The 22,217-nt window shown below is 55.3% G+C and overlaps 1 protein-coding gene across 14 annotated transcripts in view, besides 3 other annotated features; it reads right to left on the bottom strand.

Annotated features, from left to right (window-relative positions):
• The window catches only part of CELF5 (CUGBP Elav-like family member 5), a 72,416-nt gene that overhangs the window by 3,863 nt on the left and 46,336 nt on the right, over positions 1–22,217 (bottom strand). For 5 of the 14 annotated variants that reach the window (XM_006722832.2, NM_021938.4, XM_006722837.5 and 2 more), the window contains 9 exons: positions 19,291–19,342; positions 17,230–17,358; positions 15,104–15,183; positions 11,869–12,015; positions 10,947–11,088; positions 10,716–10,862; positions 8,250–8,312; positions 7,189–7,272; positions 2,840–2,983 (listed from right to left, as the gene is read on the bottom strand). In XM_006722832.2, the coding sequence (XP_006722895.1) occupies positions 2,840–2,983; positions 7,189–7,272; positions 8,250–8,312; positions 10,716–10,862; positions 10,947–11,088; positions 11,869–12,015; positions 15,104–15,183; positions 17,230–17,358; positions 19,291–19,342 (988 nt within the window). Of the gene's footprint in view, positions 1–2,839; positions 2,984–7,188; positions 7,273–8,249; positions 8,313–10,715; positions 10,863–10,946; positions 11,089–11,868; positions 12,016–15,103; positions 15,184–17,229; positions 17,359–17,886; positions 18,201–19,290; positions 19,343–21,847; positions 22,045–22,217 lie in introns of those variants that run through there. The other 9 variants (XR_430147.2, XR_001753733.2, NR_033342.2 and 6 more) reach the window with 6 other exon arrangements.
• Positions 16,912–17,211: a silencer, noted in NCBI's record as "silent region_9835". NCBI's record gives its function as "represses an Ori minimal core promoter by ATAC-STARR-seq in GM12878 lymphoblastoid cells {active_cell/tissue: GM12878}" and the evidence as "EXISTENCE:reporter gene assay evidence [ECO:0000049][PMID:35858748]".
• Positions 17,442–17,571: a silencer, noted in NCBI's record as "silent region_9834". NCBI's record gives its function as "represses an Ori minimal core promoter by ATAC-STARR-seq in GM12878 lymphoblastoid cells {active_cell/tissue: GM12878}" and the evidence as "EXISTENCE:reporter gene assay evidence [ECO:0000049][PMID:35858748]".
• Positions 19,617–19,817: a silencer, noted in NCBI's record as "peak3244 fragment used in MPRA reporter construct". NCBI's record gives its function as "represses an SCP1 promoter by STARR-seq MPRAs in K562 erythroleukemia cells {active_cell/tissue: K562}" and the evidence as "EXISTENCE:reporter gene assay evidence [ECO:0000049][PMID:32103011]".

Below are 22,217 nucleotides of genomic sequence, written 5' to 3'. Positions count from 1 at the left end.
GCGTGCACACCTGCACAGGCCAGGGTGTTTGTGGTGGAGGACACACAGCAGCCCTGGCTTTGTTCTGACACCTCTGGACTTGTATACCTCTGAGGATGGGGCACTCACTCCTTATCTTGGGGTCGGCTGTGCTGAGACTTCCCAGCTGGTATAGGGGCCAGGTGGGGCTTCCGAGGGTCCTGGAGGGCCACCTTTTCCCCACCTTCCCTCAGGAGGATGCCTGCCTCCTTCCAAGCCCTCTGTCCAGCCAGGATCTGTGTCTCCAGCTGACTGTGTGTCCACAACTTTGTCTCTCTCTTTTTTTTGCAGAAGGGAGTGGGGACAGGATCTCACTCTGTCACCCAGGCTGGAGTGCAGTGGCGCAATCTCAGCTCACTGCAGCCTCGACCTCCTTGGCTCAAGAGATGCTCCTGCCTCAGCCTCCTGAGTAGCTGGGACCACAGGCCCATACCACCATGCCCAGCTAACTGTCTCTGTTTCTCTCCCCTCCCCTCTTTCTCTCGTTCTCTAGCTTGAGTCTTTTCTTCCTCTCCCTCTCCTTCTGTCTCATCTCTGTCTCTTTCTCTCCATCTCTGTCAGTACCTCTGCTCCAGTCTCTGTCCAGAGGCCATCAGAAATACTCCACCCCATGGCCAGGCGTGGTGGCTCACGCCTGTAATCCCAGCACCTTGGGAGGCCAAGACGGGCAGATCACCTGAGGTCAGGAGTTTGAGACCAGCCTGGCCAACATGGTCAAACCCCGTCTCTACTAAAAATACAAAAATTAGCTACGCATGGTAGTGTCCACCCGTAATCCCAGCTACTCAGGAGGCTGAGGCAGGAGAATCGCTTGAGCCTGGGAGATGGAGCTTGCAGTGAGCCGAGATCGCACTGATGGCACAAGACTCCATTTCAAAAAAAAAAAAAAAAACAAAGTCAAGGGCTGACCCTTTAAACAGGACAGTGTGAGGTTAACAGTCTGGTCTTTGGCCGGGTGTGGTGGTTCACGTCTGTAATTCCAGCACTTTGGGAGGCCGAGGCGGGTGGATCACCTGAGGTCGGGAGTTTGGGACCAGCCTGGCCAACATGGTGAAACCCCATTTCTACTAAAAATACAAAAATTAGCCAGACGTGATGGCGGGTGCCTGTAATCCCAGCTACTCGGGATGCTGAGTCAGGAGAATCACTTGAACCCAAGAGGCAGAGATTGCGGTGAGCTGAGATCGTGCAATTGCACTCCAGCCTGGGCAACAAGAGTGAAGCTCTGCCTCAAAAAAAGCCAAAAAACAAAACAAAAAAAAAGAGTCTGGTTCTACTCCAGGTTCTTCTACCTCTTTCCTGCTGTGTGACTTTGGACAAATTGCAGCCCTTTTCAGAGCCTTAATGTCCTCTGTCTTTGGGTACAAGGAAGTCCTCCCTGAGGCTCACAAGGCCCTGGTCACCCTCCCCTGTCCCCTCTCCATGTTCCCCCTCCTCCCTCTCTCCCCCTCCTCACTCTGCTCCAGCCACATGGGCCTCCTCACTGCTCCTCCAACATGTCAGGCGCCGTCCTGCCTCGGGGTCTTTGCATGGGCTGTTCCCTCTGCCTGGGACACTCTTCCCCCAGATTTCCCATGCCTGGTGCTCCTCATTCAGGCCTCAGTTCTTTTTTTTTTTTTTTTTTGAGTCGGAGTCTTGCTTTATTGCCCAGGCTGGAGTACAATGGCACGATCTCGGCTCACTGCAACCTCCACCTCCACCTCCTGGGTTCTAGTGATTCTCCTGCTGCAATCTCCTAAGTAGCTGGGATTACAGGCACCCACCACCATGCCCGGCTAATTTTTTTGTATTTTTAGTAGAGATGGGGGTTTCACTGTGTTAGCCAGGATGTCTCGATCTTCTGACCTCGTGAACCACCCACCTCAGCCTCCCAAAGGTCTGGGACTACAGGTGTGAGCCACTGCGCCTGGCCATTTTTGTTTTTTTGTATGAGACAGGGTCTTGCTGTGTTGTCTGGGCTGGAATGCAGTGGTGTGATCATAGCTCACTGCAGCCTCGACCTCACGGACTCAAGGGATCGTCCCACCTCCATCTCCCAAGTAGCTGAGACTACCAGTGTGCACCACCAAGCCTGGCTAATTTTTTTTTTGTATTTTTTGTAGAAATGGGGTCTTGCTATGTTGCCCAGGCTGGTCTTGAACTCCTGGGTTCAAGGGGTCCTCACACCTCAGCCTCCTGAGTAGTTGGGACTACAGGCACACGCCACTAAGCTCAGCTAATTAAAAAGGTTGTCTTTTGTAAACACGGGGTCTCATTATGTTACCCAGGCTGGTCTTGAACTCCTGGACTCAAGCAATCCGCCCACCTCAGCCTCTCAAAGTGCTGGGATTGGCCAGGCGCAGTGGATCATGCCTGTAATCCCAGCACTTTGGGAGGCCGAGGCGGGCAGATCACGAGGTCAGGAGATGGAGACCTTCCTGGCTAACACTGTGAAACCCCGTCTCTACTTAAAAAAAAAAAAAAAATTAGCTGGGTGTGGTGGCGGGCGCCTGTAGTCCCAGCTACTTAGGAGGCTGAGGCAGGAGAATGGCGTGAACCCGGGACGCAGAGCTTGCAGTGAGCCGAGATTGCACCACTGCACTCCAGCCTGGGCGACAGAGCGAGACTCTGTCTCAAAAAAAAAAAAAAAAAAGAAACCCAAACCAAAACAAACAAAGTGCTGGGATCACAGGCGTGATCCACTGTGCCCGGCCACAGGCTGGTTCTGATTGTGATTATTTCAGCACAGCCCTGTCCCGAGGCCGACCAAAACCCTCCCATTCCCTGTCAGGGGGCAGGCGAGGGAGGTGGATGGGGAGGGGTGGCGTCGGCGGCCACTCACCGAAACACTTGCTCTGGTTGGTAGCTCGATCCATAAACACCTTGGAGGAAATGATATTGCCGAAGGGTAGGAACATCTGCGTCAGCTCCGTGTCTCCAAACTCCTGGGGGAGGTGGTAGATAAACAGGTTACAGCCCTCGGGACCTGCAGGTGGGGGAGAGAAAGACATAAAGCCCCCAAGGAGAGGAGGCGAACCCCCCCGGGGGAGGGGCACAGGTCTGGAGCCCGCATCTGGCTTCTCCAGCTGTCGGGAGAGGGGTGCCTCAGACACCCAGAAAGAAGGGGCCTGGCCACGGGCTGGGGAGGGAGACGGGACACACCCACCCCTTGCCTGCACTGTACGATCTCACACGGGGCTACTCCGCACCAAAATGGTCCTCAGACTCCAGATAACTGACAAGACCCAGGGGATCCCCTGCTCCCCAAAGCCCAGATCAACCCTCAATCTCTGACCCCAGATACCTGAAAACCCCGAGGAAGGCCACCCTCCAGAAAATCCCTCCCTAAACTTCAAACTCTGGATCATTTACAAAAGTCAGATGAGCTGGGTGTGGAGAATAAGGAAACTTGGTAATATCTTTGCAATAATAATAATAATAATGTCTCTAAAATAAAACTCATTTGTAAAACTCTGGTGTTCAGCCACCATGCGTTGCTAATTTTTTTTTTTTTTTTTTTTTTTTTTTTTTTTTTGAGATGGAGTCTCGCTCTGTCGCCCAGGCTGGAGTGCAGTGGTGCGATCTCGGCTCACTGCAACCTCTGCCTCCTGGATTCAAGCAATTCTCCTGCCTCAGCCTCCCAAGTAGCTGGGACTACAGGTGCCCACCACCAAGCCCGGATAATTTTTGTATTTTTAGTACAGATGGGGTTTCACCATGTTGGCCAGGCTGGGCTCAAACTCCTGACCTCAAGTGATCTGCCCGCCTTGGCCTCCCAAAGTGCTGGGATTACAGGCGTGAGCCATTGCACCCAGCCTGGCTAATTTTTGTAGAGGTTTCGCTATGTTGCCCAGGCTAATCTGGAACTCCTGGGCTCAACCGATCCTCCTTCCTCAGACTCCCAAGGTGATGGGATTACAGGGGTGAGCCACTGCGTCTAGCCAAAAAAAAATTTTTTTTATTATTTCCCTTTCTCAAACCCCAGCTAGGGATAACTCCCCAGACCTTGGATAATTTTCAAAACTCAGATGATGCAGAAACAAAATCAGGTGAAATAAAAAGATAATTCTCTGGTCCCCAGTCCCAGATATCCTAAAACTACAGATAATTAAACTACAACATAATATACCAACCATAAATAATTATTTTTAAGTTACAAATAATCCTCTAAATTGTCCCCTCTCCAAATCCCTGATGGATGGCTAATATAAAAACTATAAATAACAATAGCCTTTAAAACCTTGTTCATCTGAAGCCTTAAACAGTCCCTCAAGTCTGCTGCTAATCCCAAACCTAAAAATGACCTTCTTCCATTCCCACCCCACAACAAGAGGAATCCCTGCGCTTGCCAGCAATGGATTTTTTTTTAAAGGGACAGGGTCTCTTTGTTACCCAGGCTGGATTGCAGTGGCACAATCATAGCTCACTGCAGCCTCTAACTCCTAGATTCAAGCAATCCCCCCACTTTGGCCTCCCGAGTAGCTGGGACCACAGGCACGCACCACCATGCCTGGCTAACTTTTAATTTTTTTGTAGAGATGGGGTCTCACTATGTTGCCCAGGCTGGTCTTGAACTCCTGGCCTCAAGCGATCCTTCTGCCTTGCCCTGCCAAAGTGCTGGGATTACAGGTGTCAGCCACTGCACCTGGCCAAAGCTTGTTTTCTTTTGTTTTGTTTGTTTGTTTGTTTGTTTTGAGATGGAGTTTTGCTTTTGTTGCCCAGGCTGGAGTGCAATGGCGTGATCTTGGCTCATCGCAACCTCTGCTTCCCAGGTTCAAGAGATTCTCCTGCCTCAGCCTCCTGAGTAGCTGGGATTACAGGCATGCGTCACCACGCCCGGCTAATTTTTGTATTTTTAGTAGAGACAGGGTTTCGCCATGTTGTCCAGGCTGGTCTCGAACTCCCAACCTCAGGCAATCTGCCCACCTCAGCCTCCCAAAGTGCTGGGATTACAGGTGTCAGCCACTGCACCCAGCCAATGCTTGTTCTTGAAATGTAAGTCTGTTCCAATGTAACTGAACAATTTTGAGCATAACCTGAATTTTGCATTTGTTCGTGCACTGCTTCATCCCCACCAAAACTGTGGGCGACCGCTGAAAAACACATCCAGCTGCACTGACCTTCAGAAGAAAATACACGCTGCATGCCACACACCCTCCCACAGCTCCCCCAGTGTGCTGTGAGCTGCACCTTCCCCATCCGGGGTCATGCTATCTGTCTGATTTCAGACAACCCTCCCTCCACCGTTTCACAGTCACATGCAACAACCCTTTCGATGCCGTTTCCACGTGCACATTCTAGGTCTTCTCCAAGGCCAAGCACGGTATTTATTGTAGTCTCATGCATTTCTAAACCACATAACATGGAGAAAACAGTGCTACCATTTCTACTACGTTCCCATCTTTCTTTTCTCTTAACGTGTCACTGATAAAGATTTTTGATTTTGTTGTTGTTTTGTTGTTTTGAGACAGGGTCTCCCTCTGTTGCCCAGGCTGCAGTGCAGTGGCATGATCTTGGCTCAGTGCAGCCTTGACCTCCTGGGCTCAAGTGACCCTCCTGCCGTGGCCTCCCAAAGTGTTGGATTACAGGCGTGAGCCACCGCACCCAGCCAGCTTTCCTCGTTTTTATTTTTTTAATTTAATTTACTTATTTATTTTTGAGATGGAGTCTCGCTCTGTTGCCCAGGCTGAAGTGCAGTGGCGCAATCTTGGCTCACTGCAACCTCCGCCTCCTGGTTCAAGAGATTCTTCTGCCTCAGCCTCCCCAATAGCTGGGATTACAGACACACGCCACCACGCTCGGCTAATTGTTGTATTTTTAGTAGAGATGGGGTTTCACCATGTTGGCCAGGCTGGTCTTGAACTCCTGAGCTCAGGCAATTCACCTGCCTTAGCCTCCCAAAATGCTAGGATTACAGGCATGAGCCACCTCGATTGGCCTACTGTTTTAAAACTTCATTTAAGTGAAGTCTTTTTTATCTGGCTTCTTTCACTCAATATTCTGCCTGTGAAGTTATTCCATGTTGTTGTGAGTATTGGCTACTTATCCTTTTTCACTGCTGTATAGTGTTCCATCGTGCAGCTCCATCCTAATTTATTTATCCATTTACCTGCTGATGAACACTTGGGTTGTTACCAGCTTGGGATTTTTTTCTTTTCTTTTCTTTTTTTTTTTTTTTTTTTGAGACGGAGTCTTGCTCTGTCGCCCAGGCTGGAGTGCAGTGGTGCGATCTCGGCTCACTGCAAGCTCCGCCTCCTGGGTTCATGCCATTCTCCTGCCTCAGCCTCCCGAGTAGCTGGGACCACAGGCGCCCGCCACCACACCCAGCTAATTTTTTCTATTTTTTAGTAGAGACAGGGTTTCCCCGTGTTAGCCAGGATGGTCTCGATCTCCTGACCTTGTGATCCGCCCGCCTCGGCCTCCCAAAGTGCTGGGATTACAGGCGTGAGCCACCGTGCCCGGCCTTTTTTTTTTTTTTTTTTTTTGAGATGGAGTCTTGCTCTCTCACCCAGGCTGGAGTCCAGTGGGGAGATAGTAGCTCACTGAAGCCTTGACCTCCTGGGCTCAGTGATCCTCCTGCTCCAGCCTCCTGAGTAGCTGGGACTACAGGTGCACACCACTACACCTGGCCAATTTTTAATTTTTTTGTAGACATGGGGTCTTGCTAAGCCAGGCTGGTCTTGGACTCCTGGGCTCAAGTGATCCTCCCACCTCGGCCCCCAAAACGCTATGTAATTACAGGCGGGATCTACCGCACATGGCAAGAACTGTATGGATTTGAACCCTGACTGTCAGACTCCAGAATCGAATCCCTCCCTCCTTCGACAGCCTTGGCTTTACTGGGGAGGCCTCATTACCTGATACCTCATCGTGCCATGCCCCAGCCTCAAAAAGGGTTTCCTTTCCAAAAAATCCAGAGAATCACTCTTGGTTCTGGAGAGGGCTGGTAGGAAGTCACTGCTATTCCTACGGGGTCGGGGCGAGCATGGTTCTCTTTTCGGAGGAGGAAACAGAGAGGGAGATTCCCAGGGGTCAGCGGCTGCACCGGGACTCAACTCTGGCCTGTCCAGCCCCCAGGCCGCACTCTCAGCCCCGCGGGTCCCAGAGGCCCGGGCCAGACACGGAGCCTGCAGGTGGACAGGGCGGGCAGAGGGCGGGGCTGGCGCCCAGGGGAGGTTGCGGCCGCCTCACCTTCTCGCTGCTGCTGCTGCAGGAGGGGCGGCGGCTGGGGGACGCTGTGCGCGATGGGCGTGATGGCCGCGGTGGGGTACATGGCTGCGGAGACCGGAGCGAGACACAGGGCGAGGAGGGGCGTGAGGCCACGTGGGCGGCCTGGGCCGCTGGGCGGGGAGGGGGCGGGGCCATAAGAGGGTGGGGCCAAGGCAGGAGTGGGTGTGATCATGGCCTTTGTGGGGAGGGTTTGGGGGCGGGGCCAGGCCAGAGGGCGGGGCCAAGATCACAGACGAAACGGGGAGGGGCTATTGCCTGAGGGGCGGGGCCATGGTGGAGGGCAGGGCCAATACCGAGACGGGGCGGGGAAGGGGGGGTGGGGGCGGACCCCATGGCGTGAGGGGAGGGGTATAGGGGTTGGGCCACAGTAGAGGGCGGGGCCAAGGCTACAGGACAGTCCAGAGTGGGCGGGACCATTGCTTGAGGGGTGGGGTCACAGTGGAGGGCGGGGGCAAGACTGGGATGAAGGGCATGAGTGGGGCGGGGCCGTGACTTGATGGAGGGCTATGTGGGCAGGACCATGAGTTAAGGGGCGGGGCCGCAGCAGAGGGCGGGGTCACAGCCAGGCCTTAAGAAGTAGAGCCAGAGGTAGGGGCGGGGCTTTATCAGAGAGGCGTGGTCAGAGTAAAGGCAGGAAGTGAGGGGCGGGGCTAGGAGCTGCAGGAGGGAGGGTAAGGGGCAGGGCCGAGAGCTGGGGTTGGGTCAGAGCTAGAGACGTGGTCAAGGGGAATTCCCTCTCCCCAACACAGAACATGAGAGGGTAAGGCCATGGGTAAGCGCTGTCCTTAAAGGACAAGGGAAGGTCCTGTTTGCGGGTATAGGTGGTGGTGGGGTGGGACCAGTAACAGGGCCCGGGGTTGAATACAGGACAAGGGGCTAAGGGTGGGCCCTGAGGGGCGGGGCCAGAGGTAGGAGGCGCGGCTAGGCACAGAAGAACGACACGTCCGGGGCGGGCCCTGGGGGCGGGGCCCTAGGCGGGGGCGGGGCCAGGGCCCAGCGCGGGCACGCGGGCTGCCTCCTACCTGTGTACTGCTGGACTCCGGAGAAGGCAGGATGCAGTGTCTCGGCCACAGTCGGGCTCTGAGCTGCGGGCAGACAGAGGGGCTGAGTGGGGCGGGAGCAGCAGAAGTCTTCCATCCACCCCCGATCCTTAAGAGCCGCAAGGACAGCAACAAACACCCCGCCCAGCTTCTCCTCTGTGCTAAACCCTCTGTAGGACCAGGAAGCTGAGGCCGAGGAAGGTGAAGCCACTTGCACAGGGCCACTCAGATAGCAAATGGCAGAAGCTGAACTGGAATCCGGGTTTCTCGGACTCCAGAGAGAGATCACCATCGTCCCCATCTCCCTCTCCCTATCCCGACCCGGTTGCCTCCCAAGGGGGACCCTTCACTCCTCTCTACTCCCTGGATTCACCAGGACTTCAGCCTCCACCTCAAATCACCACCTGCCCCCATCCCCTGCCCCGTCTCCCTCTCCACATGAGTTTCCTCATCAGACACCCTGTAGCTCCCCCATCTAGCTGTAGCCTTCCTGCTACCGCTAGGGAAAGGGGTAGGGGAGGGAAGAAGTTGTCCAGGCCACCAAAGCTGATGATTCTGGGGAAAAATTCAGCCAAACAATTCTGCCCGAATGGAGAGTGTGCTGGAGGGCAGGGGATAGTGGTGGTGACTGTGACTTCAAAGGGGTGGCAGGAAGGAGTTCACTTTGTGGGCAAGAAGCAGTTCTGTATCTTCACTGTGGGAGATCCACAAGTCTGCATCTGTGACAAAATGGCAATTAACCGCCCCTGCACACACACACACACACGTGCACAGAGTGCATACAAAAACTCGTGAAATCAGCTGGGTGTGGTGGCTCACACTTGTGATCCCAACACTTTGGGAGGCCGAGGAAGGAGGATCGCTTGAGCCCAGGAGTTTCGAGACCAGCTTGGGCAACATAGCAAGACCCTCATTTCTTAAAAAATAAAATAAAATCGAAAATTAGCCAAGCATAATGGCACGTGCCTGTAGTCCCAGTGACTTGGGAGGCTGAGGTGAGAGGTGAGAGGATCGCTTCAGCCCAGGAGTTCGAGAGTTCAAGGCTGCAGCGAGCTATGATCACGCCACTGCACTCCAGCCTGGGCGACAGAGTGAGACTCTGTCGCTAAATAAATAAATGGTGAAATTTGAATACCGTCTGGAGTTGAATTAATTGTATGGTGCCAGTGTTAGTTTCCTGGGTTTGACAGTGACCTATGATTAGATAAGCTGCTGGCATCAGGGAAGCTGTGTGAAGGGTACCTGGGACTGCTCTGTGGTATTTTGGTAACTCCCTGTGAACCTCCAATCATTTCAAAATAAAATGTTAAGGCCAGTCACAGTGGCTCACACCTATAATCCCGGCACTTTGGGAGGCCTGCTTGAGCCCAGGAATTTGAGGCCAGCCTGGGCAACACAGCAAGATCCCGTCTGTACAAAAATTTAAAAATTAGCCGGGCGTGATGGCACATGCTTGTAGTCCCAGCTACAAGGAAGGCTGAGGTGGGAGGATTGCTTAAGCCCCAGAGATGGAGGCGGCAGTGAGCTGCGACGACACCACTGCACTCCAGCCTGAGTGACACAGTGAGACACTGTCTCTAAAACTAAATAAATAAAAATAATTAAAAAAATAAAAAGTTAGAAACAAATTCTCCTACATGGTGGAAAGACAGATAACTTACTTCACATAAATTAGATGTTGGAAGATGTTTGCCCTAAAATTGTAGGTGTAGCATAGAGAAAGGAAGGACCTCTGCTTCATGAAAGCAGGTGCAGCCTAAATCAGTGGGTCATTCATTCTGTGTTGAATGGATAAATGAATGAATCCAGGCATTGATATCTCCCCAAATGACACAGATGAATAATTAAGATTTATGGGCTGGGCGCAGTAGGTGAATCACCTGAGGTCAGGAGTTCGAGACCAGCCTGGCCAACATGGTGAAACCCCATCTCTACTAAAACTACAAAAATTAGCCGGGCATGGTGGCATGCGCCTGTAATCCCAGCTACTTGGGAGGCTGAGGCAGGAGAATCACTTGAACCTGGGAAGCGGAGGTTACAGTCAGCCAAGATTGTGCCACTGCAATGCAGCCTGGGCGACAGAGTGAGACCCTGTGTGAAGCCTTTTGCACACAGATTAAATTGTCAATGCAACCCTCTGAGGCTACTGATGTTATCTGCCCCATTTTCCAGATGAGCAAACTGAGGCTCAGGGACGTAAAGAGCCCATCCAGGGTCACTGAACTGGAATTTAAGCTCAGAAACATCCAGATGCACCGTTTTAATGTGTTATTACCCTGCCACGGCCTCCCTTCCTGTGTCCACAGCTCTTATCTGCTCAGCGGAGACACCCTTTTTCCTGCCCTTCTGTTCCCTGGGCACTGTGATGTAGGGACTCATACTTGTTCCAGAAACACCATCTTTATTCCCCACCACTCTCCTAGGCCCCAGAGGACGACCCCAATTTACCTGGGTAGGGCACAAGGCCATTGGCATAGACGGTTTCCAGGGCAGGGTGCCCACCTGGAAAGGGCACGACACCTGCAAAGCCATTGGTGATGGGAGCCACGAGGCCAGGCACAGCGGTGGTGCCCAGCAGCGGGGGTGAGTGCAGCCCTGCAGAGCGGAAGAGGGTCATGGGGAGGCCAGTTCTGGCTCCAGCCCTGCCCACCCATCCTTGGGTGCCTGGAGGAGGCTCACCAGAGGCAGGAGCGATGGGTGTGGCAGGCAGCCCGTTGAGGCTGACGGCGCCTATCTGCTGGATGTGACAGGGTGAGAAGGCCACGCCGGGACTCAGGTAGCTGCCCGAGGTGGACAGGACTGTTGTCTGCTGTTGCATGAGCTGGGGGTGAAGACATGTCACAGTTGGGGTGATATCTGCCCTGAGATCATGGCTTATGAGGGGAGGCTTGGTACCCCAGTTACTAGTGAGGAGGTCAGGCTGGGTATCTTGGCTCAGGCTGAGATCAGAATTGGAGCTCAGACTGGGATCAAGGCTCAGCCTGGGAGCAGAGATCGGTTCGGAAGTGAGGCTCAGGCTGAGATCAGGGCTCAATCTAGTCAGGAATTGGGGCTCAGCCTGGGATCAAGGCTCAGCCTAGGATCAGGGCTCAGTTAGAAAAGCGAGGCTCAGCCTGGGACTAAGGCTCAATCTAGGATCAAGGCTCGGTTAGGAAGTGAGGCTCAGACTGAGATCAAGGCTCCATCTAGGATGAGGGTTTAGTTAGAAATTGAGGCTCAGCCTGGGATCAGGGTTCAGTCAGGAGCTGGGGCTCAACTTGGGATCAGGTCTCAGCCAGGGTGGAGCTTGATCAGGTCAGGTCTCAGTTTGGGATCAGTCTGGATTTGGAGGTTCAGCCAGAATTGGGCCTAATTTAGACGTGGAGCATAGCCAGGTTCTGGGGCTCGGTCCAAGATTGGGTGTTACTGTGAGATTAGGGCTCAGTCTTCTGGATTTAGGGGCTCGGTCTGAGCTTGGTCTCAATTTGGAGTTGGGGTTCAGCCACGCCAGGAGAGGACCCTGAGTCAGGGAGATGGAGGGAGAGGCAGGAGCCCGACAGAGAGTAGACAGAGACTGAGAGAGACGGAGCCGGAGCCCCGAAGCTGTCACTGGGTCACTCACAGCCTGGGCGTAGGCACTGTAGGGGCTGAAGGGCAATGTGAGGGACGGCGTCAGGATGCCCAGCTGGCCCACCATCTGCTGCATGCGCCGGAGCGTCCGCTCCTTGTCCGTGTCGGCGAACTTGACCACCAGGCTGGAGGAGGCTCCCTGCAGGGGCAGCGGCGAGCAGGGAGGGAAACGGGCTGGGAGGTAGCCAGGACTCTGGGGTCCCTGGATTCATGTTAGCTCAGGCCTCCTGGGTGAGGGGTGTAATGCCAGTGGCTGTCAGCCATGTCCACGGGCCCCCACCCCAGGAGCCAGGGCCACAGCGAGGACCGCGTGGAGATCAGCATCCTGGGCCCAGCAGCATCTGCACAGGTGCAGCGCCCAGGCCTAGGAGGCTGTGATGGGGCACAGGTGGGGGCCCTGACTGTCAGCCACACACTCAAAACAGATGGAGAATCCCGCCGCTGGAGAACAGGGAGGCACAGCTGGAGGCACCTATGACTTCCGCTCACCTGAGAACAGGTGAGAAACCAGCTTCCGAAGGAAAACAGTGGGCTCAGGTGGACGAACCTGCCATTGTCACCCCACACCTGAAACTCCAGTCTCCAGAGAGGAACAACTGGGGCACAGATGGGTGAGCCTCCAATTCTCACCCACACCTGAGAACAGGTGAGACTCCAGCCACAGGAGAGGAACAAGGCGGGACAAGTAGATGATCCTGACTCTGTCCTCCATGCCCTGGAGCTAGCAGGCAGTTCGGACCCGGATTTTTTTTGTTTTGTTTTGAGACGGAGTTTCGCTCTTGTTGCCCAGGCTGGAGTGCAATGGCGCGATCTCGGCTCACTGCAACCTCTGCCTTCCAGGTTCAAGTGATTCTCCTGCCTCAGCCTCTTGAGTAGCTGGGATTACAGGTGCCCGCCATCACGCCCAGCTAATTTTTTTTTTTATTTTTAGTAGAGACGGGGTTTCACTATGTTGGCCAGGCTGGTCTCTAACTCCTGACCTCAAGTGATCCGCCCGCCTCGACCTCCCAAAGTGCTGGGATTACAGCCACCACGCCCAGCCCCAGCCCCAGATTTTTGTGCCCTTTGCAGGCAGATGAACCTGTGGCCCATCCACCCAGTGGACAGCGGACAGTAGCCACTGGTGGGGACTGGGGGCCCTGCTTTGCTGGGGCACAGACAGAAACCCATGTGACTGCCATCCCACTCCATGGCTGTCCAGGTGCCACAGGGCTGGGCTGAAATCCACCAACAGGCAGCCCTGGGCAGTCGAAGCAGCGGTGAGCCAGGGAGTGTCTGTCTGTGCAGTCAGGATGCTGCAACAGGTCCTGATATCGGTAACAAGAGAAGCCTGGTGGCCGGGCACAGTGGCTCATGCCTGTAATCCCAGCACTTTGGGAGGCCAAGGTGGGCAGATCACCTGAGGTCAGGAGTTCGAGATCAGCCTGACCAACATGGTGAAACCCCGTCTCTACTACAAATACAAAATTTAGCCAGGTGTGGTGGCGCGTGCCTGTAATCCCAGCTACTTGGGAGTCTGAGGCAGAAGAATCGCTTGAACTCGAGAGGTGGAGATTGCAGTGAGCTGAGATTGCCCCATTGCACTCCAACCTGGGCGACAGAGCGAGACTCTGTCTCAAAAAAATAAAAGAGAGGCCTGAGGCAGGGGCCAGGAGGCCATTCCCACCCCTCACAAACCAGCCCACACCCCGACTCTGGGGCTCAAGAAGGAAAATATCTTCCCCTTCGACCAGCTCCTCCCTGGTGAGCTGGCTCCCACAGGATGCACCCTGTTGCCTCCCTGTCTTCGCTGACATGCCTCCTCCGATAGAGAACTCACTCCTCCAGACGCCTACCAGCCCTGTCCTGGGACATCTCTGAGCTTGGGAACACTTGCCCTTGTGCTGAACTAAGCCCCTCCCCTGGGTTTTAAGAGCTGAGAGAGGTGGCTTGTTCCTCTCAGGTCCCATCTTCCTTGTAGCAGATTCGGAGATGTGGGTGCAGGAACAATGGCTTCTGGGGACTCCTTCCTCGGGGGAAGGGCAGTCCCCAGTGCCTCCTTGGTCCTCCCCAGCCTCTCACTGCTGCAGACTCTGGGACCTGTCCCCAATCCCCACCCCTCCCTCAACCAGTGAGTCAACAGGCCCCCCATCCATTCTCACCCTAATGTCTGTTTTCTGATCAGCCCTCCTCCCTGTCCACCTGGCCCCAGCTCAGGCCTCCTCCTACCTCAGCTGGACCTTGGCCTAGCCTCCTCTTTGGCCTCCCAGCCTCTAGTCTTGCACCCTGCCCATCCTCTACATTAGCCCCAAAGGGATATTTGCAACCGACCTGGCCTGTCTCCTCCCTTGCTCTAAACCGTCTGTGGCTCCCCACTGCCCTAGGAGAAAGTCCAGGCTTCTCAGCCTCGCATTGCGGCCCCATCTTCTATGGCTCCTCTGGGCTACCTGTTGCCACCTCCCAGCCTTTCTTTTTGTCAGGGCCTCTCCTGGCCTCAGCAAATCCAACCCAGGTGTCATCCCCTTAGGATACCCTTACATGTACACACATACACACTCACCCACTCACAACCTATACTCACACAGACCTGCATATACTCACAAACGTGTACACAATCACCCACAATACTGACACACTCACAGTCATGCACACACACAAACACACACACACACACACACAAACCTGCCCACAAATGCACCTGCAGATGCACACACATGTGCTTCCTCCCCCGTGGCCCAGGCATACTCACACACACGCTCACACACATAGAAACACACATGTACACTCTCATACACGCACACGCACTAGTATCTCTACACTAGCACACAATGGCACACTTATCCATACATATTTACGCACACCCCTCGTGCACACAGCACTCACATAACACTCGCCTACTAGTAATGACACACTCAAACACGCACTCACACACACACATGCATGCAGTCTCGGGCACACTCACACCCAGACATGCACACTCACCCACACGCACACACTTGTAATACATCCATGCACACACATACACTTCGCTTGCCTACTCACCTCCACATCTGCACACACTCACACGTGTATACCCACTCCAGGGACCACAGCCAGGGACTGCGCCTCTTTCTCCACCTGTGCCCCCTCTGAAGGACAGCCAGGGGCTACCGGATGACAGCGACGGTAGGAATATGGCCTGTTTCATCCCTGTCCCCCTCACCCCTTTCCCACCCCCACCCCCACGGCCAAGGGCAGCTCCAACTCACCGGCATGGTCTGGCTCCCATGCAAGGCGTGGATGGCCGCCTGCGCCTCCGTGTGGGAGGAGAACTTCACGAAAGCACAGCCTGCTCCAAGAGAAGAAGAAGAGGTAGAGGGTGATGGGGTCACAGGACTGGCTGAGCGGGGGCCACAGGAGAGGGGACACAGAGACCTACATGGCCAGTGTCAGACACATGCAGCCAGAGAGAACTGATAACAGAAAGACAGCCAGCCGTTTGCTCAGACGGACAGCTGGACAATCAGCCAGATCAAGGGTCAGAATGGAGGAGAATCACACAGACAGACAGCCACAGTTAGACAAAGACCTGGTCACCCACACAGCCAGCCAGGCTAATGCAGACAGACAGCCACACACACAGAGACCACCAGACACAGGTGAATGGAAACACAGTCCCACCGACAAAGTCCATAGAACATACAGAGGCCACTGCACCTGGCTCCAGACTGGTAGAGTACTATGGAAGGGCCAGCCATATTGTGGAGGGAGGGGGTGGAATGTTCTGGAATTACATAGTGGTGATGGTTGCACGGTTTTATGAATAGAAAAAAAAAGCACTTCATTGTACATTTTTAAAGGGTGAATTTGGTAGGATGTGGAAGACATCTCAATTTTTTTCTTTTTTTGAGTCAGAGTCTTGCTCCGTCACCCAGGCTAGAGTGCAGTGGCGTGATCTCGGCTCACTGCAACATCTGCCTCCCGGGTTCAAGCAATGCTCTTCCTCAACCTCCCGAGTAGTTGGGATTACAGGCGCCTGCCACCACGCCCAGCTAATTTTTGTATTTTTTGTAGAGACGGGTTTCACCATCTTGGCCAGGCTGGTCTTGAACTCCTGATCTCGTGATCCACCTGCCTCAGCCTCCCAAAGTGCTGGGATTACAGGCGTGAGCCACCACGCCCAGCCCTCAATTTTAAAAAGGAAGAACCAGGTAATGGTCTGAAACCGTCAGACACATTCAGTTCTAGTAAGGTAAGAAAGACCAGAGTGGAGTCGGTCCCACATGATGAGCTCTGTGGACAGAGACCGCCAGACACCGTCATTTGGACTCTCAGGCAGGAAGATAGACAGACAGACACAACCAGAGACCACCAGTCAGTCATATGGACAAATCACATAGACAGAACCAGGAGGAAACAGTTTTACGAATAGTCAGGTGGAGGAATCTGAGACCACAGGGCACAGGTAACTCTGTCCGTGGAGAAGCCCCGCCCCTCCCCAGACCCCGCCCCATCACAAGCCACGCCCCTGCATCCCTACTCACAGGCAGCACCTGGAGAAGCCCCCCCGCCTCCCACCAGACACCGCCTCATCCCAAGGTACTGCCCCTGCATCCCCATCCATAAGCAGCCCCTGGAGAAGCCTTGCCCTTCCCCAAGGCCACGCCTCTGCATCTCCGCCCACCCCACCGCAGCCCCGCCCCTCTTCAGGGCCCGTCCCCACAGCCAGCATGCAGAGAGAGCATGCAGGTAGGATCAAGCGGGACCAGTCTCTGCTCCACCCAACCCCTGTGAACCAGCTTCTCCCAGCCAGCCCCAGCCTCCTATTGGCCTGGCCCCGCCCCACCTGGCCAGCCCCACCCCCTATATGCTCAGCCCCGACCCTTCCCAGGGCCTCTCCCCCTGGAGCCAGTCCCTCCTAACTCTACGTATTTCACCCCTCCCTGCAGTACCTCCCCTACCCAAGACCCCACCCTTGCAGCCTCACCCACAGACTTCAGCTCTGGAGAAGCCTCGGGCCTCTCCAGGGCTACATCCTCAGAGCCAGCTCCTCCCCACCCCTGCAGCCACACCTCTCCCCAAGGGCCCACCTTTGGAGAAGCCCCACCCCTCCCCAGGGCCCTGCCCCACAGGCCCCGCCCTCAGAGGCAGCTCCTCCCCACCCTGCAGCCCCATCCCCTCCCCAGGCCCCGCCCCTGCAATTCCGCCCCTCTCCAAGGCCCCGCCCCTGCAGCCTCACCCACAGACTCCACCCCTGGAGAAGCCCCGCCCCTCCCCAGGGTCCCACCCCAGAGCCAGCTCCTCCCCATGCTGCAGGCCCCACCCTCCCCACAGGCCCCGCCCCCAGAGCTAGCCCGGCCCCTCTCGCAGTCCCGCCCCGGCCCCCGCCAGTCACCTTTGCTGCTGCCGTCAGGCCCCCGGAGCACGGTGCACTCGTCAATGACCCCGAAGGGCTGGAACAGCCGCAGCACGTCCTCCTCCGACTGCTGCTTGTTCAGCATCCCCACGAACAGCTTCCGGTCCCCTGTGGGCGGCGACACCCACCTCAGCCGAGTCCCCGGCCTCCGGGAGGGCCTCCGGGATTCCTCCCTCCCTCCAGCAGAGTGGAGGCGGCAGGGCAGGAAGACGCGGCGCCCGGGCCCTGCCGGCTCCGGTTCTGCGCGTGCGAGGGAGGACCCAGCCGCGCCCTTTCCCTGCCCCGGATCTCTCCACCCTCCCACGGGCCCTGCACGCTCCCATCTCCCGGCCTTTGCCCAGGTGGCGCCCCCGCCTGGAATGCCCTCCCTGCAGTCTTTTGGGGTCTCTGCTCCACTGCTCCCCCTCCAGGCGGAGATGACCTTTCCCTCTGGTGCACTCAGAGAGCCCGCACCGAGTACTAGGGCTAGGAGCTGCCTCGCCGGGCCTGGGTCCCTGTCTGTCTGTCTGTCTGTCTTTCTGTCTGCTCCCCGGACCTGCCAGGCGGAGGTGGGCACTGATGGTCCCCGCACTTTCACGGTGCCCAGCAGAGGCCCCTGCCCAACTTTGTCGGGATCAAGAGGGGCCAGGCAGTCACCATCTGTGGAGTGGAGTGAGGGTTCACGTGCTCAGTGGACCAGGGGCCTTGGCAGGCTGGACCCCCTGCTGGGTGGGGCTGGGCTGGAACCTGGTCTGAGGCCGGAGCTGGGCCAGCCTCTCCTGTGTGAGCTCTGCCCCCTTGGGTAACTGCATGCTCCCTGGTAATGGGGAACGTGGTGGCTTCATCTCCTAGGGACGGTGAGCTGGGTTACTATGGAAACCGCTCTCGGCAGCTGTCACTCATGGGGGTGGGAGGGAGAGAGAGAAACCAGCAGAGAGACTGAGAATCAGGGAGAGAGAGAGACAGATCAGAGAGAGAGTGCGCGCGAAAGAGACTGTGAGAGACAGAGAGAATAAGAGGGATGAAGAGACAAGAGAAGAGAAAAAGGAGAAGGAGATACAGAGGGAGATGGAGAGAGAGACAGAGAAATAGAGACAAAAATGGAGACATACAGACCCCACCTCGCTACTCCCTGTCCCACGCTGGCAGCCAGGGTGGAGAGTGTGAAAGGGGCTCCCATCCCAGAGGGCCTTTACCGGACTCCTACATATACCTAGGTATCCTAACACTCCTGCTCCATGCCTCCACTCAACCAAATCTGGCTGCCCTCCTTCAGTCTCCACTTGAGATGGAGAGGAAATATACAAATTTCCAAGAATGACTAGATTTGGGTCCCATGGGAACAGCTGAGTATGCCCCCACCATGGGCACACCCTGACACCAAGGTCCAGCCCCACACAGACAACACTGGCCCCAGCCTGCATGTCTGCCCACATGCCCAGCCTCCAACAGTCAGGCACACATGTGCAAACACACACACCCATGCGCGGGCTGGGCACACGCACATGCACACAGGCAGGAAGGCATCCCCACTGCATACCACACATGTGCGCTTATGTGCACCAGCTGCAGAAACACAAATGCACATGTGCACGTACTCACACACATCTGCACACAGGCATGCCAGGTGTGCACAGTCATATACACACACATTTAAGCATGCACACATAAACACACACATTTCCACACGGAGACCCCAGAGAGCAATCCACAGCCCTTCAGGCCCCCATTGTCTGTGTCTGAAGCCCCCCAGTTATTGCACCCTGAAGGGAGTGGAGTATTTCAAACTCAGGAGAAGGCAGCTGGACCTGGCTAGACCCCCCATCCTCCCTTGGGGCCTATGGACATAGCCCCTTCTGCTCTCTGGAACCTGCTTCTCCCCCCACCAAAAGGTGTGTGAGCAGGCATGCGACTACTGCATGCTTTGGGGCAGGGAGGCCAGTTCCAGATCCACAGGCCTCGGCCACTGCCCCTTTTGCAGGAGAGAGGAAGGAAGAGATTTTCCTTCTTCTCCCATTCCTCCGCCAACCCCCAGCCTGGCAGCCACGGAGAGATGACAACTACCTCCGCGGCTTTCACTGTCCGCAGGCTTCACCTGGATTGGCCGCGCCATCTGCAGAGAGAGGGGGAAGGGAAAAGTCAAGCTTAGCAGTGGGGGTGTGGCAGGCGGGGGGTTTTGCCTGAGCTCTGCAGGCCAGCCCTGCCCACCTCCCACCACCAGCCCTCAGCACCCCACCACCCAACTAACACCCCAGTCAAAGAAATTACACACTGTCCCACCTACAGCGGAAACTGTGTGGCGAACTCTTAGCTCTCAAAACCCAACAATATCCCTTCCTCCAGGAAGCCTCCTTGCTTCCCCAAATGTGATAGGCCCAATTCCTCCAGTCCCTTTATGCGATGTGACTTTGCAGTTCCTACCATCAAGAACTAGAGTCTATTTTCCCACTCCTGGCACCTGAACTTGGCCAAGTGACTTGCTGTGACCCATAGAATGTGGTGGAAGTTAAGTTGCGGGAGTTCTGAGCCTAAGCCTCAAGAGACCTTGTGGCTTCCACTCTTGGAACTCTGAGACTGCCAGGTGGATAGGCCCAGGAGGAGGCCCCTCCTCCTCAGTAGGGGAGGAGGAGGGGCCTCATGGAGACAGAGGCCTCTCTGACAGCCACCTCAGGGGAGTGAGGCCACCCTGACCCAGCTAAGCCCAGTCAAGTCTCAGCTGACTGCAGCTGCTTGAGCGACCCCAGGAGAGCCCAACAGAAGAGCCGTCCAGCTGAGCCCAGACCAAGCTTTGCAGAATCGAGAACAAATACAATGACTGGAGTAGTTTGTTACTCAGCAGTGCTGACTGATACACCAAAGTAGCTACATTTAGCCACATCTCCCAGGAGCTTTGGGTGGAGTCATGCCAGGAGCTTTGGGTGGGGACATACCTGAGTGGACCAGCCTGCCATCTGGATTCATTGTTCTAGACACTTTTGTCCCCCACCCCAGGCATTGAAAATGATATTTAATGAAAAAAAAATTCTCACTGGCACCAACTCTCACAACATACCAAGTCCTAGGTATGAGCTATTTTGGATCGTTGAGAACAGGCTCCAGGGATGTGAGAGTTGGGGAGGCATTTGCATCTCCACTGGTCCTGGGACACAATCCTTCTCCCAACCTGATGTCTGTGGCAAACTCCCACTCAACCTTCAAAACCCAACTTAAAAGCCCCCATGCAGGGACTCTTCCCACTCTTCTGGGCTCCTTCCTCCCCCTCCCTCAGGCTGTAAGTGTCTATGTCTTGCTCTGTCTCTCTCCAGACAGGGAACCACGGCATCTCCCCACATGGGGAAGGACACATGGAGGAATTGGAGAAACCTGCTGAACAGAATGGGCCAGAAGGAAGTGGCCAACTTCCACCAACACAGAAAGGCGTCTGGAATGGGAATGAGTGCTACTCTCAGACCTTTTTCCAAGTCAGACAAACTTGAAATAGATTCCCACATCCCCTGAGTCCTATGGGTTCCAAAGTGCTCTTTCTGATCTTCTGACTTTTGAGTTTCAGCAGAGAATACGCTTGAAAAAGTGCCAGGTTTTCTTTTTTTTCTTTTCTTTTTTTCTTTTTTTTTCTTGGGACGGACTCTCACTCTGTTGCCAGGCTGGAATGCAGTGACGTGATCTCGGCTTACTGCAGCCTCCACCTCCTGGGTTCAAGCAATTCTCCAGCCTCAGCCTCCCAAGCAGCTGGGACTACAGGCACGCACCAATACGCCCAGCTAATTTTTTTTGTATTTTTAGTAGAGATGGGGTTTCACCATGTTGGCCAGGATGGTCTCGATCTGCTGAGTTCGTGATCCGCCCACCTCAGCCTCCCAAATTGCTGGGATTACAGGCGTGAGCCCCTGCACCCGGCCAAATGCCAGGTTTTCTAATCACAGCATAGCTGCCCAACAAGCTTCAGAGAGAGGTGCAATTTTCACCCCTTTCTACAGATGTCAACATTGAGATTTCTGTTATTTGTCTAAGAGAGAAGTTATTTGTGTAAGGCCATGGTGAGTGAAGAGTTTCTGGACTCCAGATTCAGTGATCTGTCCACCCACTGCCATAAATAATGCCTCCTCCCCATTTTGGGACCCCCAAAGTCTCCCCACTGAGCTCTGTCCCTCGTGATCTGACACCTTCTCTAAGACCCGTTCCAGCTCCGTGCCCACTCTTCCACCCTCAGCAACCCCTTATTTTGCACTCCCCTCCTCAGAGACCCCTCTGGATTTCCACCTCCCACCCCCTCAGCTTCCCTCCTCTCGCTGAGCCTCTCCTGCTTCAGAGGCCCTTCCTCATCTCTGGGTCCCCTCCCCTCTCTAAGACCCTCTCCCATTCTGACACCCTCCTTCCTGAGTGTATGTCCCGGGCACATATGCTTTCCTCAATTTGAACTCAGTCTTTGGGGCCCCAGAAACCAAGAGGCCCCTGCCTCCCTGATCCTGTGCCCCCAATCCTCCCAGCCCAACCTTCCTGCCGCCCAGCCGCACCCTCAGAGGGACCCTGATCACCTAGGAGAGGAAAACCTCCATGCTCTTCCCCCACCCAGCCAGCTGGACCCCTTTCCCACCCCACATCACCCATGCATACACACCGGGGCCCTTTCCACCTGGGTACCACACCCTGCTAGGCTGGAGGCAGGAGGGGAGATGGTTTCAACCAGATGGGACCAGCTTCTGGGCTGGAAGCGGGGGGGTGCCAGGGGAGGTGGGGAGAGATGGGGGGGCACCTGCAGGAGCTCCAGACTCCTGCTCCCCCCACCCCTCCCACCCCACCTCCGTTGGCCCTCACCTCCTCCCCCCTCCCAGCACCTTGGGCAGATGAGGATGGGGTTGCCATGGCAACGCTGATTCACCACACGGAAGCTGGCAATTGTTGTTGCCATGGAAACCGCCTCTTAGGGGCGAGCCCAGCTCCTGCCTTGCACAAAAGAGATATTTAAATATAATCTTCTGGAGATGGAC

Source organism: Homo sapiens, chromosome 19 (assembly GCF_000001405.40).
Source record: "Homo sapiens chromosome 19, GRCh38.p14 Primary Assembly".
In the NCBI taxonomy this organism is placed as follows: Eukaryota; Metazoa; Chordata; class Mammalia; order Primates; family Hominidae; genus Homo; species Homo sapiens.
The sequence above is the reverse complement of the archived record's forward strand: the minus strand, read 5'-3'. Positions and strand labels throughout refer to the sequence as shown.